Source organism: Homo sapiens, chromosome 3 (genome assembly GCF_000001405.40).
Source record: "Homo sapiens chromosome 3, GRCh38.p14 Primary Assembly".
In the NCBI taxonomy this organism is placed as follows: domain Eukaryota; kingdom Metazoa; phylum Chordata; class Mammalia; order Primates; family Hominidae; genus Homo; species Homo sapiens.
Window position 1 is genome coordinate 16,270,062 of NC_000003.12, and position 15,530 is coordinate 16,285,591.

The 15,530-nt window shown below is 38.8% G+C and overlaps 1 protein-coding gene and 1 pseudogene across 20 annotated transcripts in view; one reads left to right on the forward strand and one right to left on the reverse strand.

Annotated features, from left to right (window-relative positions):
• The window catches only part of OXNAD1 (oxidoreductase NAD binding domain containing 1), an 86,884-nt gene that overhangs the window by 4,850 nt on the left and 66,504 nt on the right, over nt 1-15,530 (forward strand). For 7 of the 20 annotated variants that reach the window (XR_007095766.1, XR_007095767.1, XM_011534230.4 and 4 more), the window contains exons 3-4: nt 868-1,010; nt 1,598-1,661. Coding sequence is in view for 13 of the 20 variants with exons in the window: in XM_011534230.4 (XP_011532532.1) it covers nt 868-1,010; nt 1,598-1,661 (207 nt within the window). In the remaining 7 variants the exon portion in view is untranslated. Of the gene's footprint in view, nt 1-867; nt 1,011-1,597; nt 1,662-2,083; nt 2,261-15,530 lie in introns of all 20 variants that reach the window. The other 13 variants (NR_148217.2, NR_148218.2, NM_001352982.2 and 10 more) reach the window with 3 other exon arrangements.
• Nucleotides 4,798-6,643, reverse strand: THAP5P2 (THAP domain containing 5 pseudogene 2; annotated as a pseudogene).

The window sequence follows — 15,530 nt, forward strand, 5'->3', positions numbered from 1 at the left end:
TTGTTGAAGTTCAAGTACAAACAGAAAACTACACAGATCCTAAGAGGACAGCTTAATCAGTTTTTACAAAAAGTGAAAATACCCATGCAATCCGCACCCAGATTAAGAAGCAACATTGTCACTACCACCTCCCAAGGGAAATTGCTAACTTGATTTCTGACATCATGGATTCATTTTCTCTGTTTTTATACTTTATATGATTAGAATAAAAGAATATCTGTTCTTTGGGGTCTGGCTTCTTTCATTCAGTATGTTATTTGTGGTAATTCATCTGTGTTACTGCATGTAGTTGCAGTTTGTTTTCATTGCTGTGTAGTATATCTTACTGTGTGAATGTATCACAGTTACCTTATCTCCTGTAGTAATGGCATTTGGATAGTTTCCAGTTTGGGCTATTAGGAATAGTGTTATTATTTTCTGTTTTGGTTTTTTAATATCTGGAAACCTTAAGCTTCTTGTTTGGGAACCGTTGTAAATTTATCTTCCTCTTACACTTAACAAGAAATATAAAAGACTTATGCAGTACTCTTCAGGTAGAATACAATTATCAGGAAGTTATAAAATCTCCCCTCTTCTATAATAGCATAAGATTAGTCATGTGAACTTGGCCAGAGATTTTAGAAAGTGATAGAGAACATGAATATTTGATAATACCAAAAATTACATACTTATATACATAATTGTGGAGATACCTTGAGTCAACTCTAAATAGTGGCAGAAATTTTGTCAAGGTGAAGTTAGGCTCTTGGCTGCTTTGGTGGTAACTTGACTCATAATAGCACCAACAGAAATCCACACTCTTCCTCACTGACCCTCTAAAATAGTCTGATATTTCCCCACTTTTAAAAAAACAATTTGAAATTTCAGTTTTCTGTTTGCCCAGAAAGCGCCATGGCCTGTGCTGCTGTTATGATTCCTGGGTTGTTGCGGTGCTCTGTTGGAGCCATCCGTATTGAGGCTGCGTCACTGAGATTGACACTCAGCACTTTGCGCCACCTTACTCTAACCAGGTGAGTCATTAAGACTTCTGTGTCATTTGAAGTTAATTTTCAAAGAGACCCGACCTGCTGATGGTTGTGGGAGGCATATCAAACTCCCGGAAAGGTAACACCTTAGCTTCAATGTGCATGCTGTCAGGTTGTTAACCGTTTTTTTTGTCTGAGATGGAGTCTTGCTCCGTCGCCTGGGCTGGAGTGCAGTGGCACGATCTTAGCTCACTGCAACCTCCACCTCCTGGATTCAAGTGATTCTCCTGTCTTAGCCTCCCGAGTAGCTGGGATTACAGGCGTGCACCACCACACCTAGCTAATTTTTGTATTTTTGGTAGAGAAAGGCTTTCTCCATGTTGGCCAGGCTGGTCTCGTACTCCTGACGTCAGATGATCTGCCTGCCTCGGCCTCCCAAAGTGCTGAGATTACAGGCATGAGCCACCATGCCCGGCCAAAACTTTAGTTAGACGGGCAGATACTCACTGGCCATTTTATAGGATCTGTAATGTTACACTGTATTTAGGATAACCATGATATTTCAGGAAAAACTAATTTTATTATTTTTATGAGGATAATATGTAATAACCTAATTTTACTTTCTATTAAAGCATAATGAAATCCAAAAGGAAAACTGATCACATGGAGAGAACTGCAAGTGTCCTTCGACGGGAGGTTTGTATCTTTGGGGTATGACAGGTTTTTCCAGCTAGACCGTTTACATGTGGTTATGACTGGCTTATGGGTAAAGCATTAGATGAGTCTGGTCCTTTTGAAGGAGAGTTGGGAAGTTTGTTATTTTTCTATTTAGAAATTTTCTGAGCAGGACATTTGATATCTGATTTGAAAAGATGACAGATACTCAAATTTTTCCCTTTAAACTTGGAATGAATGGATTACCTTTTGATGAAGCAAGTAGAGCAGCAACTGAGGGAGCCATCCTCACAGGTATGATGTTTAGGGTTATGTTTTAGCACTAGAACTTCCTTTAAAGCCTACATTTTATGAATAGCTTACCTTTCTCTGTTTTTTTGTGTGGGGTCTTTTTTTTTTTTTTGCGTCACATCTCAAAGTTCTTGTTCTCATTCCTGCTTTAGAGCAACTTATTTCATCAAGGGAGAAAGCACTAACATCTGAGAAAGGAAAGTGGACGAGCTCTTGTTACCCTTCTAATGTACAGATTTTTTCCACCATATTCAGACTATAGAAAGCTAATCTACCACCTGAAGGGGTGTCAAGGGCTGAGAAATAAAGGATCCTCACCCTTTACCTCAGTGAGTAACCCCATTTTTGTTTAAAAACATAAATCGGATATTTGATTTTGCTTTTTTGAATGTTTATCACTTACTCAGATATATTTAGCTTAGTGTTATAAGTATATGTAAGCTAACAATAAAAAAACTATTTCATGTAAAGAAGGATTATATACTTCTACAAACATGGGCAGAAATTATATTGTCTCATTTAAATTTATCTATTAATAGAAGGATACACTTTAATGTAAAGGCATATTGTTTAGGCCCTACTTTTAAGGCTAACTTCTTTCAGAAAGTTACTTTGGGACTAAGGGTAATGTGTTTGTTGATTCAGCTTAAAGTTCTTTTTTTTTTTTTTTTTTTTGAGAAGTCTGTAAAATTAGTTTAGCATAGTAGATTTAGGAGCTTGTGGGGAAGTACACTTTTTCCAATAATAAATCTGAAAATACTTTTTTTTTGGTTTGTTCAAGTGACCAAAAATGCTGATTCTGTAAATGTGAGACTTGTTAGGATTTCTTTTTATAAAATGAAGGCCTTGCAAATTATGAAAAAAAAAAGTGATTTATCTTACAGGCTCTTTCCTGTTGTATTTTGAGGCTGGTAGAATTAGAGCAGAGGTTGAAAATCTTTCCCTAGAAGGCCAGATAGTAAATACTTTAGATTTTTTGGGCCGTGCTGTCTTAATTACAACTTCTAATCTTTGATTTTATAATGTGAAAAGAGCCATAGACAGTATGTATACAAATTTCATTTACCAAACACCCAGATTTGGCCTGCAGGTAATAATTTGCTAGTCCCTGAATTAGAGTATTCATTTCAGAATTTTATTTTACAAGACCAATTAATTTTAATAGCCTGCAGAAACTAAGTGAAATATAAGCAAAAAAGAATCATCAAGCATTTACAAACAATTAGTATATTATTTACTGTTTAGCGTCAACTGATATTTACTGAGCACCTCCTGTTTTCCAGGACCAAAAACTTGTTTCTTACCTTACAGAATTCTCAAAACTATGCCGTAAGATACATAATAATATTTTAAGACAGGTAAGATAGATAGATAGTTAATAGTATTTTCTTGTTTTTTTTTTTTTTTTTTGAGACAGAGTCTTGCTCTGTCACCCAGGCTGGAGTGCAGTGGGTACAGGGGTACAGTCATGGCTCACAGCAGCTTCTGTCTCCCAAGCTCGACTGATCCTCCTGCCTAAGCCTCCTGATTAGCGAGGACTACAGGCACACTATTGTGCTCAGCTAATTTTTAATTTTTTGTAAAGATGGTCTTGCTGTGTTGCCCAGGCTGGTCTTGAACTCCTGGCCTCAAGTGATCCCTTCTCTTTGGCCTCCCAAAGTGCTGGGATTACAGGCATGAGCCACCACACCTGGCCAGTATTTTCTTTTTAACAGATGAAAAGACTAAGAATCGGACTAATAGGAACTTGCACAGCATCCATCATAGGCATTAACATACTTAATTATGTTGACTGCCAATTCTAAGGAAACATATCTATTTCTCACATTTTTATTGTTACCACAAAGTCTTTTACATTTTTCAAATTTGTGTGGATATAAACAGTATTTTTATTTATATCACCATCATTTCTGTTTCCTAATAAAAGACCTTTATCTCCCTAAGGTTATCACCACTTATCTATAATTTCTTGCTTATTAATTTTAATAAAATATACATAAGTGGGAATGTACAGTATTCAGTATTCTGTGGTTTACAAATGAGGCAGGCACATACTTTAAAGGTTACACCTATTAAGAAATAGATGCTAATGGCACGTCTCTCTCTGAGTACGCTCACACTCCCTTTTGTTGGGTGTGTGCTTTCCCCCTTCCAATAAATCACTGTACTATCACTAAAAAAAAAAAAAAAAACAAAAGATATCAACTATGATTTCTAAAATATACTTAAATATATTTAAAATTAACCTCATTAAAATTTTTGGTTTATAAATATAACTATAACTACAGTATGTTAAGCTTAAATGACTATGTATTATGATGGTTAGTGACATATAAAGTACTGATATACATATTCTTTCAAGTTTGAAGTACCTCACCTGAGAACTCGGCTAAGGGGCAGTTCCTTAGTTTGGTTCCACTGGAATAAAATTATAAAAGGTGTATTTTCCTTTATGTAACAGATACATAACTATAGCCAAAAGGTCAGGCAACACAGAATTCAGTAAATACTGAGGATAATGCAATAGTTAATGTCAAATTCTAGCCAACTTCTAGTATTATGAAAGTATGTCTAATCTTAGGGAAAACCTGTTCTAACAAAATTATCTTAAGAAAAAGGGAAAGAACTATAAAGAAACAGACTATTAGAGATCTAGTAAATATTTTATAGATTAGGGACTGAGCTTCAGTCTTGATAAGTAACTTGCCCAAGCCATATATGCCAGTGGTGAAACCAGGACTGATTGCTGAACCTGACGTCTGTTTCAGGTTCTTTTGAACATGCCCTTGTTCTTTCATGTTATGACCGAATCGTACCATTTATTCACCGAATTTTAACTTTAATTTGGAAAATTATCAACTAATAAAACTTTTTCTCTTCAGCACAACTCTCTAGTTTTTCTAAAAATGAGCATTTTAAGAACAGGATACAGTTGATAACATTAGAGCACTCTCATAGTTCCTTAAGATCAGAACTTTATACAGGAAAAAGTTCCCTTTACATAAAGTTTGATTTGGCTGGAGAAAGCTTATAAAACAGTCATAGCTTTAAAGCCTTTTTACTCTGTATCATAGTGACATCCCCTGTTGTAAAACAGTTTTTTATCATCTGACATTTTCTTCAGATAGCCAGTTTTCCTGCTTTGGCTGTCTTATAAGAACTTCCAAAGACTTCAGTCTACCTATAGTTTGTTGTTTGTAGGTCAGGAAGAGTTATCTTAGAATGTAGCTTACAGACTTTCTGCCAAAAATGTTCTTTAGTTGTGTCTTGTCTGCAGTAAGAATGTTCAATTTGTGGTCAAGCGCAGTGGCTCGTGTCTGTAATCCCAGCACTTTGGGAGGCTGAAACAGGAGGATCACTTGAGACCAGGAGTTTAAGACCAGCTTGGGCAACATAGCAAGACCCAGTCTCTGCAAAAAGTTAAAATTAGCTGGACATGGCGGTGTGCTTGTAGTCCTGGCTACTCAGGAGGCTGAGGCAGGAGGATCACTTGAACCCAGGAGTTCAAGGTTACTAACGTAAGCTATTATGGTGCCACTGCACTCCAGCCTGTGTGGCAGAGCAAGACCCTGTCTCTTTAAAAAAGAAAAGAAAAGAAAAGAATCTTCCATAGTTTACATCCTTATGTAAGGAGTCTTCAATGTCTATGTCTTCCATTTCCCTGGTTTCTTTTTGGGCAGATATAAAAGAATTAACTACGGGTTTAGAAAAATGGCAATAATAGATTATTTATTTGTGTTTAATTCTTCAACTGTTTGATTAATTGTGCTAAATAAGAATGAATTATCCTGTGCTGACCTGATTTTCATGGAATATTTGTAAAATTTGGATTAGCAAGATGATTGGTAGTTATTTCAAGCACTTCTTGGGTTTCCAAAGACTGTTGAATACCTTCTGAATTTGAAATTATCAAAGTAATAGTTGTAAAATTTAGATACTCAAAAGATGTGTGAAAAGCACCTATATCCATATTTTAGTTAACTGATGTTTCCAACGTAGATTCTGGTTTCCTAGTTAATCTTGTTTAACTAGTTTAAGAGTTAACATGTATTTTGACTTGAACCTGGGAGGCAGAGGTTGCAGTGAGCCAAGATTGCGCTACTGCACTCTAGCCTGGGCAACAGAGTAAGACTCTGTCTCAAAAAGAAAAGAGTTAACAAGTATTTTGTATACTTCTTGGTTTTAGAAGCCAGTGGCTTCACCAAGGCAGATGAATCAAGTAATTGCGTGTTCAGGGAGCACATCTGTGTTAACTATATTTTTCTTTGCCTCATTTAATACAAGTGATTTTTCTGATTTGGCTTTTAGGCATACTTTTTTCTCATCTTCCAATTGTTTCTTCTGTGAATTTTTTTTTTTTTTAAGAAGGATCTTTTACTTGATTGTCTTCAGGCAGAGGAAAAAGTTGTTGGAACTGTACTTTGTTTTAAATATCAAATCCCCCGTCTGATGTCAAGAGAGTCAGGAGTGAAATGGTCACTACATAGTAACTGGTATTTACTAGAAACCCATCAATCTTGCTATTTTTTTTTTTTTTTTTTACCACTTTTCAAGTGTTTCTTTGTCATTTAGAGGAAATGGGTAAAAACTCAGCTTCTGGTCTTTGTTTTTTTTGTTCCTGGCGATTTGTAGAGTAAATCGCTGTCCTGTATAGCTGAGTTTCACTTGTATGAGGTCCTGGGAGACCCGGGGCCAGCAAAAGGTGCAAGGCGGCCCTTCTTCCATTTCAGAATTTTATAGGACAAAATTATTGGGACTTTTGGGGGTTATTTTGAGCCAAATTTAGGTAAACTACAAAGAAAGTTAATGCAAACTCTTGAGAATTTTAGTGCCCACAAGTCAGAAAATTACAGGAAAATCCAATCATGGTACTACCTTTCAGGAAATTTTTAGTTGCATCTCTTCTCCTCTTCTGTTTCTTTTTCTTTCTTTCTTTTTTTTTTTTTTTGAGACAGAGTCTCTTTCTTGTTGCACAGGCTAAAAGCGCAATGGTGCGATCTTGGCTCACTGCAACCTCTGCCTCCCGGGTTCAAGTGACTCTCCTGCCTCAGCCTCCCCAGTAGCTGGGATTACAGGCGCCTGCCACCATGCCCGGCTAACTTTTTTTTGTATTTTTAGTAGAGACGGGGTTTCACTGTGTTGGCCAGGCTTGTCTTGAACTCCTGACCTCATGATCTGCCCTCCTCGGCCTCCCAAAGTGCTGGGATTACAGGCATGAGCCACAGCTCCTGGCCCTCCTCTTCTGTTTCTAATTTCCCCTCTTCTCCCATACAGAATGAGAACTGCGAAGAGTTGGGAGGAACTGGAGAAAGCTAGATGGTATCTGGCTTTCTCAGCAGTATATGGTCATTAGGAACTTGCCCCAATCTCCAGAGGGTGCTCCTAGCCATAGAGTAGGGGCTGGACCCTGGACTCGTTGAAATGAATGGCACCTCAGGTTTGGCCATAACAGAACTGGATCAGCTTCTTATAGTCTCGTCTTCCATTCTTGCCTTTAATTTGTATAGTGAGTATACTTTACACATGTTATTTGCTCTTCAGTTCAAGTCCATGAGGTAGCCTAAGGATACGATGCCATCTGGATTTTACAAAGAGGAAGCAGGGCCTAGGACATGTCTCTCAGTGACGAAAGGAAGCTCCAGCTCAGAATTCCTAGCTAAAGGACTGTGTTGCTACTCTTGGAGTCGACAGGAAATGGAATACTCACCCAGAAATGTTCTTTTGGTTTTGGGCATGTATTTCCTCTGGAAAGTTTACTGAATGACCATTTATGATGTTTATGCTTCTTACTTGGGACTGTAACTGTAAGTAGTCTGAGATTGTGCTGATGGAGGAAACTGAACTCTGAATTGAATTACATTGGAATGTTTGTGTTCAAGTTTTATTCATTTTATTCTTAAGAATCAAAAGAATAAGCAGTCTGAGTAACCCTAGAAATGTCAAGGAGATAAAGATAGAAATACTGTAATGCAGTAAAGATTGTTCAGGCAAGACAAATTTTACTGGAGGGGGTCATTCCGTGCTTGGCCTCTACAGACTGTTGGCCTACTGAGCAATATATGCTCTGTTCATCAGTTTGTTGGGAGAGTTTGGCAGTGAAAGAATTTCTTAAATTACTAATTCATATGCATTCATTTGTTCATTTGGAAATGTGCCAGACCCTGGGCCAGATCCTGGGGTTACAGCATTGAAAATGATAGATAAGCTCCTATCCTCAGATTTTAATGGGACTCTGATCAGAAGACTTTATGCACCTAATTGATTTTGGAAATCTTTCTAATTCTTTTTCTATTGTACTAGTTTGCTTTTAGAAGCCTGTGTCTTTTCCTACAGTATCTTATGTGTATGTTGCCTTTTTGTTTACAAAGCACCAGATTATACAACAGATTGGTACTTGATTCTCACAACCATTCTGGGAGGGACATGTAGGGATTTTAATTTCTATTTCACAGATGAGGGGATTAAGAATCAAAGATTTAGGTAGGATGACCCTGCTTCCTCATTTGCCTGAAATAGTCCTGGTTTATGCCTCTCGTTCCTGGTGTAATAGCACTCACTTTCACTCTCAAAATTATTCTGTCTTGAATGATAAATTATATTGTTGTCCTAAGTTTAAAGGACTTGTTCAAGGGACAAGGACTCAGTCCTTGAACTCAGATCTTTGATAATAAAATCAGCTTTCCTTTATGTTACAGCAGAATATGACACTCTGTTTAGACGGACAAGGCTTAATTGAGCAATGTGTTACTAGGCATGAGAAACGGGGGAGATACTGATGGCAGAGTGGTTAGTTAATAAATGGCTGGGCCCCTGGGGCAGATGCCTTTGGGGATCCTACAGTTCCAGGTGCTGATTTTCCAATGCTTATAATCCGCTTGTGATCTTGATGAGGCTTGGGTTTGAATGGGATGGTCTGCTTAGCTGCAGAGTGGACTATGTCCCAAGGCTAACTTTTACAATTCTCTACTGGTCATCACCTATGCATGTCAAGGAGATTGTGGTAGAGTGGTCACTTCAATTTGAGGTAGGGGGCATCTTTTCAACATGCACTGTTTCTCAACAGTTATTCCTGTAACTTGCTTTGGTTATTAGAGCTTGATGGTCAAAGAACCTTTTAGAGATGATCCAGCCTGGGATGAGCAGTGCTTGACGCTCCTGGCTTCACACTGTCAGCAGTGACAAAGCAGAGCAGGTGGAGAGAAACCTCAGGCACTCACTGCCTGGAGGTAGTTGTAGGGGATCTGGGGGGCTGGACTGCAGCTCTTAGAAAAACTCCCAAGGAAGTATAGTCTGATGGCCCTGGCAGCTGGCCTCTGGCCCCTAGGGGTGTGTAACTAACTCTTCTGTGAGTTGAAGGCTACAAAGAAAGGGAGGCTCCTTGGGGAAAGGCCCAGTTTAGCAGCTCTGTAATCATAGTATCTAGCACAGTGCCGGAGAAAAAAAGAGTTCCCTGTTGGCTGTGTTAAATTTGAAATGGAAATTAAACAGGCTGTTGGACATGTGAGATGAGAGTTTAACTGCTAGAGATGAAAAGTTGAGGCCACGTAGAGAGTAAGGGAAGAGGACTCAGGACTCAGCCCAGGAATGTGTCAACAGTTAGAGGCCAAGCAGAAGAGCAAGAGCCAGCAAAGGAGATGGAGAAGGAGTGGCCAGCCAGATAGGAAGGAGATCAGCAGAGTGTTCTTGGAGCCAGGGGGAAAAGTATTTCAAGAAAGAGAGAGGAGCCAACTGTGCTGAATTCTGCTGAGAGGTCATCACTGGATTTACCAAAGTGGATAGTGGGTGACCAGAATGACTGGCTTTAGTACATTACTGAGGGTGAAAGCCTGATCAGATTGTGTTGAGGAGAGAATGGGAGATGAGAAAGTGGAGACAGGACCATATGTAACTCTTGAAATGTTGTAATATGAATGGGAGCAGAGAAATGGGGTGAAAGCTGGATTAAAGGAGAAGCTTGTTTTGTTTGTTGTATTTTGAAAAGCAGCAAAGACCACAAGTGCCTGGTTTTAAATCTGCTTTGCCCCTTACTGGCTCTGGGACCTCAGTTTTCTCATATGTAAAATGGGGATATAATAATATTGGCTTTCTAGAGTTGTGAAGACTGAGTGAATCAATGTATGTAAAGTGCCTGACATATGGTAAGGATGTCTATAAGTGTTTGCTGCTGTTGTTGTTGTTACATGTTACATGAGGTGGGAGATCCTAGAGCTCGTGTGTTCTGATGGGGAGGGTAGAGAGGGTGTGATGCAGGAGAGAGGATAGTTGCTGGAGGGAAGGCTTGAGAAGACGGAGAGGAGACCAGCCCAGGTGGACAGGTTAGCCTTTGGTAGGAGTAAAGTGAGTTTACTTGTCATTCTAGGGCATAGTGTTAACCAGCATAAGCCATTTAAGAAGTTAAATTGTGTGGTTGACGGAGAATTTTGTGTCTACCTTTGTTAGTAAATCACTTGAGTAAAATCTGCTTCTAGTCAGATTCCTACACATCAGATTGATACTCTGCTACCATTTAAATAATGTCTCTGGGTCTCGGTGTCTTTGTGTGTAAAATGGCATATGATTCTTGATAATGACTAAAGTTTCCTTCAATTCTGAAATTCTCTGAACCATACCTACATTTTTGTTTTAGGTCATCTCTAGTCATGGCTTTGCCTAAATTTTTAAGCCAGAAAATGAATGAACAGGAGTGAACAGGGAAAGCTAGCCAGGTTTCCAAAGAAATACCTATTTCCTGTACAGAGACTTTTGCACCAGCGGTAACATCAAAATATCCTACATAAAACCAGCTTTTTAAACAAGTGTGATGGAATTTCCTTTTAGATGCTGACTCTGCCTCAGCATTAAACATGTGTACTGGTAAAGTTGGCAAATGTGTTGTTATTTTACTGAACACTGGAAAAGCATAAATGTTGTTTTATGGAAAACTTCATTTCCTGCCATGTGTTTTAACTTAGGACATGGATAGTTGAGGTTTCAGTTGTGAATCTTTCGATCCATTAAGTATAAGAGCCAATACAAATGATAAAATAAATAGTTTCTCCACTATGTTTTGCCTATCCAACAAAAGAATAGCATATAACAGGGGCCACAATTACAGGTCCTAATTATATGAACTAGCTTTTGGAGTAAAATAAATATGTGGTCTTCAAAAAGATTTCGTTGATGTTTTTAATCCACATTGCTAGAAATCTATATAGTATACAGCATTTGTGTTAAGCAAAATAAAATAGTAACAGGGAAGCATGTCTTTAAAAATAATGAATTGTGCAGGGTATTTTATGTTCCAGATATAGATAAAACAATTTTGTCCAGTTTGTTAGGATAAATAGCAGTAGGTACATTACTGTTTGTATTTCAGGTTGAGTATCTCTAATGCAAAAATCTGAAATCTGAAATGCTCCAAAATCCAAAACGTTTTGAGTACTGACGTGACACTCAAAGGAAATGCTCATTGGAGCCTTTTGGATTTCAGATTTTCACATGAGAGATGTTCAACCTATAAGTATAATGCAAATATTCCAAAATTGAAAAAAAATTGAAATCCTAAACACTTCCGGTCCAAGCATTTCAGGTAAGGGATACTCAGCCTGTCATACCAATAATTGGTCATAGACAGCATCCAAATGAAAATATGGCTTAATAGAAAGTATAGCTTGTTTCCTTCCTCATTGAATTTTACATTTGGACATTGGAAAATGACTAATGCTTCCATTTCACATAGCCTAGCACTTGATCGTGACGCATTCTCAGGTGTCTCAGCTGAAATTCTTTTCCCTATCTAGTTTTGTTAAGGAATTCAACACATGCCAGTTAAGCTGTCAGAAATGAAATAATCTACCTCGAGGCTGTATTTTAACAGATTATTATATCGAAAGAAAAAAATGAATGTTTATAAAATAACATTTCTTTTTTTTTTTTTTTTTTTTTGAGACAGGGTCTCACTTGGCTCACTGCAGTCTTGACCTCCAGGCTCAAGTGATCCTCCCACCTCAGCCTTCCGAGTAGCTGGGACTACAAGTGTGCCACCATGCCTAGCTAATGTTTGTAATTTTTTTTTTTTTTTTTTTTTTTTGTAGAGATGTGGGGTTTTGCCACGTTGCCCAGGCTGGTCTCAAACTCCTGGGCTCAAGCTATCTGCCTGCCTTGGTCTCCCAAAATACTTCTGTAAATGTAAGAAAAGGGGAATAATGAAGTAATAGAGACCTCTGATGATTCTCATTACTTGTCTTTGTAATAAGATACTTAAAAAAGAATGTGTGGCAAACAAAGGAAAATACCAGTTCTACTAAATAAATGTCTGCTCTCCCTGAACTCTCCCATACTTTTAAACATGAATCTGGATTTTCTGTAGTGTTCTCTTCCCCTATCCACCCAGCTTAAAAAAAAAAAAAAAGTGCTCCTGCATTTCTACCAATCTTTGTTCTGAAAAACCATTTTAAGTGACTTAAAGTTCAAGTTTTTATTCATTCTGCAAATACTTACTGAGCCTTACTGTGTGTTGGGCCCTGTGCTTCATCTAGGGAGTTGACTTATACATGCTGAATATGGTCAGAAAGGCAAAAACATTATATTGGTAGAGTTGAGAGTATGAAGAGAAGAGGGAGGACCTCAGGCAGGGGGTGTTACTTGAGCAGGGCCTAGAAGGGTGAGCAGAAGGTTGGTAGAACTGAGAGAGCTTGGCACATGCTGAATGACCTAGGTAGGGTTTTGGGGAAGGGCAGGTGTTAGGTACCTTTGAGGACCAGCAGGTTGTCCAGTTTGGCCAAAAAACCACAAGCACAGTGATCCAGGAGGAGTCCCAAGTTCGTATGAGTTAAACGGGACTTTCAGCTTTTTTTTTTTTTTTTTTTTTTTCGGTGATTGAGTAGTAGAGAGCCGTTTAAGGTTTTTAAGCTGGAGAGTAACTCAGTGAGGTTGGAACATTAGGAATATTTGCCTGTTGGCTGCTTTGAGAGACACAAGAAGGAGACCAAGGTAGTAGTTCAAGTGAGAAGAAAGAAATTCTCAGCTTAGGGTGATGGCAAGTAGGCAAGGGAAAGAAAAAACATGAGCCAAATTTATGGAATTTGGCTGTGTTAGGGACAGTATACCAGAAAGAGTCAAAGTTTATGTGTGTTTGAATATCAACTGAAAATGTAATTGACTGTGTTGAGTCCAAGATGCATCCATAATTGAATATCTGGTAATGGAAATAAGCTGATTTTGCAAGGCTCTGTGAGGGCAGGTGCAGTCTTCTCTATCTCTGCATACCCTGTTCCCCAGTTTCAGGCACCATGCTCAATAAGTGTTCGTGGAAGGAATGACTTTGGTGGATTTCGTTGTATGGCATAAGTGCGTTTACCACTGGAGCAGAACCATCAGATGATTTAGGGAGGGTCAAGCTAACCTGGATTTGAATCCGCAATTCCTAGCTAGGTGATCTTGAGCAAGTTACTGAATCTTTCAGTTTCCTCATCTGCAAGATGTAGGATAACAACACTGTCTCTTGGGATATAATATGATTATTCATATCAACTGAATGAATGAATGCACATAAAATATTTAACCTAGCATCTGGTATATACCTGGGATAAATGCTCCTCAGGCATTGGCTGCTGTTACTTATGGGGAGTGTTGATGTCAGTTTGTGATTGGCAGAAAAGTAATGATGAGTTGTCAGCAGAAGGTGGGAGGAGAGTAGTAGTCTGTGAGTCCTTGAGGGCCTCAACCTGGAGTGGTAGAGGCAGTAGGAGCAAGGCAGTTTAGGGAAAGCTCCTACAGAAGAAGTGAGAGAAGGAATGGTAAAGGAGAAAGACTAGGTCAGTGATAACAGGAGGGGACCTGAGAAGTTCAATATGGCTGTTCCAGACAAGGAGAATGCATCAGTGTGGAAAATACCAAATTCAGAGAGGTCAGGGAGGGTGAGAACTGAGACTGGACATTGAGTTTGGTTGTTCAGAAAGACCCCAACCGTCAAAGGAGAAGTTGCAAGAACACCGAAGCTAGGTTACCTGTGGTTAAGGTGAGCATCAAGGAAAAAGGGAAGATTCTGTGGGCTATAGAAGAGCTGATTGTCTCAGTAGAGGAAGAGACGAAAGGCAAGATTTCTAAAATATATTCAAGACAGTATGGCTTTTACGTTTGCACTGGTAAAAACATGTACAAGCCCACCACACTGCAGTTTCTTGTTGTCCATGTGAGCAGTCTCTGAGATGTTCAGTGCTCAGTCTTTAAGGCCCTGGTGCAAAAGCATTGGTATGGTGGCATATATAGTTATAAATGAATAAAATGTAATATATAATGTAAACAAATGCTAATTAATTTTAATTAAGACAATGAAATACAGTCATGTGTTGCCTGCTGACGGGGATGTTTTGATAAATGTGTCATTAGCTGATTGTCATTGTGCAGACATAGAGTGTACTTAAACAAACCTGGAGGGGATAGCCTACTACACACTTAGGCTAAATGGTATAGCCTATTGTTCCTAGAGGACAAACCTATATGCATGTTACTGTACTGAATATTTCAGGCGTTTGTAACACAATATTTGTGTGTCTAAACATAGAAAAATAGTAAAAATCTGGTATTATGGGATCACCTTGTATATGTGCTTTGTCGTTGACCAAAATGTCGTTGCACAGCACATGACTGTACATTATAACCAACATTAATGAGTTCTGTGGGCCAGCAGCATTGTAAGTACTTTTGTCAGTATTATCTCATTTAATCCTCCCAGCAACCCTATGAGGTATAGGTGGTATTATTCTCATTTTATAGCTGAGGAGGGCTAGGTAACTTGCCCAGAGTCACACAGCTGGTAAGCGGTAGAGCCAGGACTAAATACCAGGCAGTCCAGCTGCAGAGCCCATGCTGTTAACAGCCATATTCTGCTGCTTACTTTATTTTGTTGCTGAATTGCTTTGAATTGCAAATGGCATTAGATGTAATCTTTGATGAAACAGGAATGTACTAAAGGGAGGAAAATTGAACATGAAGGAAAGGGCTGGTGGTTGCTGATGGAGCAGTGTTTCTGAGAGAGTAGGCAGGACTAGGACCAAGAGTGCAGGTAGAGGGTCAGTAATGGAAAATTACCCCAGTTGATTTTTAGGAGAGGAGCAAGAGAGGGTTGACAAAAATATGGAGAAAGAAAGGTTAGGTATTTTGCAGGAGGGAGAGAAAGGTAGATAATACTAGAAGATACTTTGAGGTGGTGAGAGAGACCACCATCCATCATGAGAATTATCCAGTGGATTTTTGAAAATGGTCTCCACTAATAGTTTGATGAGATTTAGTAGTCCTATTGGAGTAGAGGGCCTGCATGAGCTAGCATTAGGATGGGACGTTCATTGACCTTGACAGATTTCCAAAGCACCCTTTGGTGGAGCTGTGAAGGTCACACTTTCCAAGGAGAGGGCTATATTTTGGTTAGTTGCTGATTTGCTGCCACAAGTAAAGATGAACAGACATAGAAGGTTGAGGAAGGAAAGAGTCATGTTGTCTTTTTTCTTTGCTTGTGAAGATGTCCCAGGCTTACAGGACAAAGAAACACAAAGCAGATGAAAGAATAAAGGAAATAGATACCTTTTGAATTTGAGGGGTGTTGAGCCATGAATGGCACAT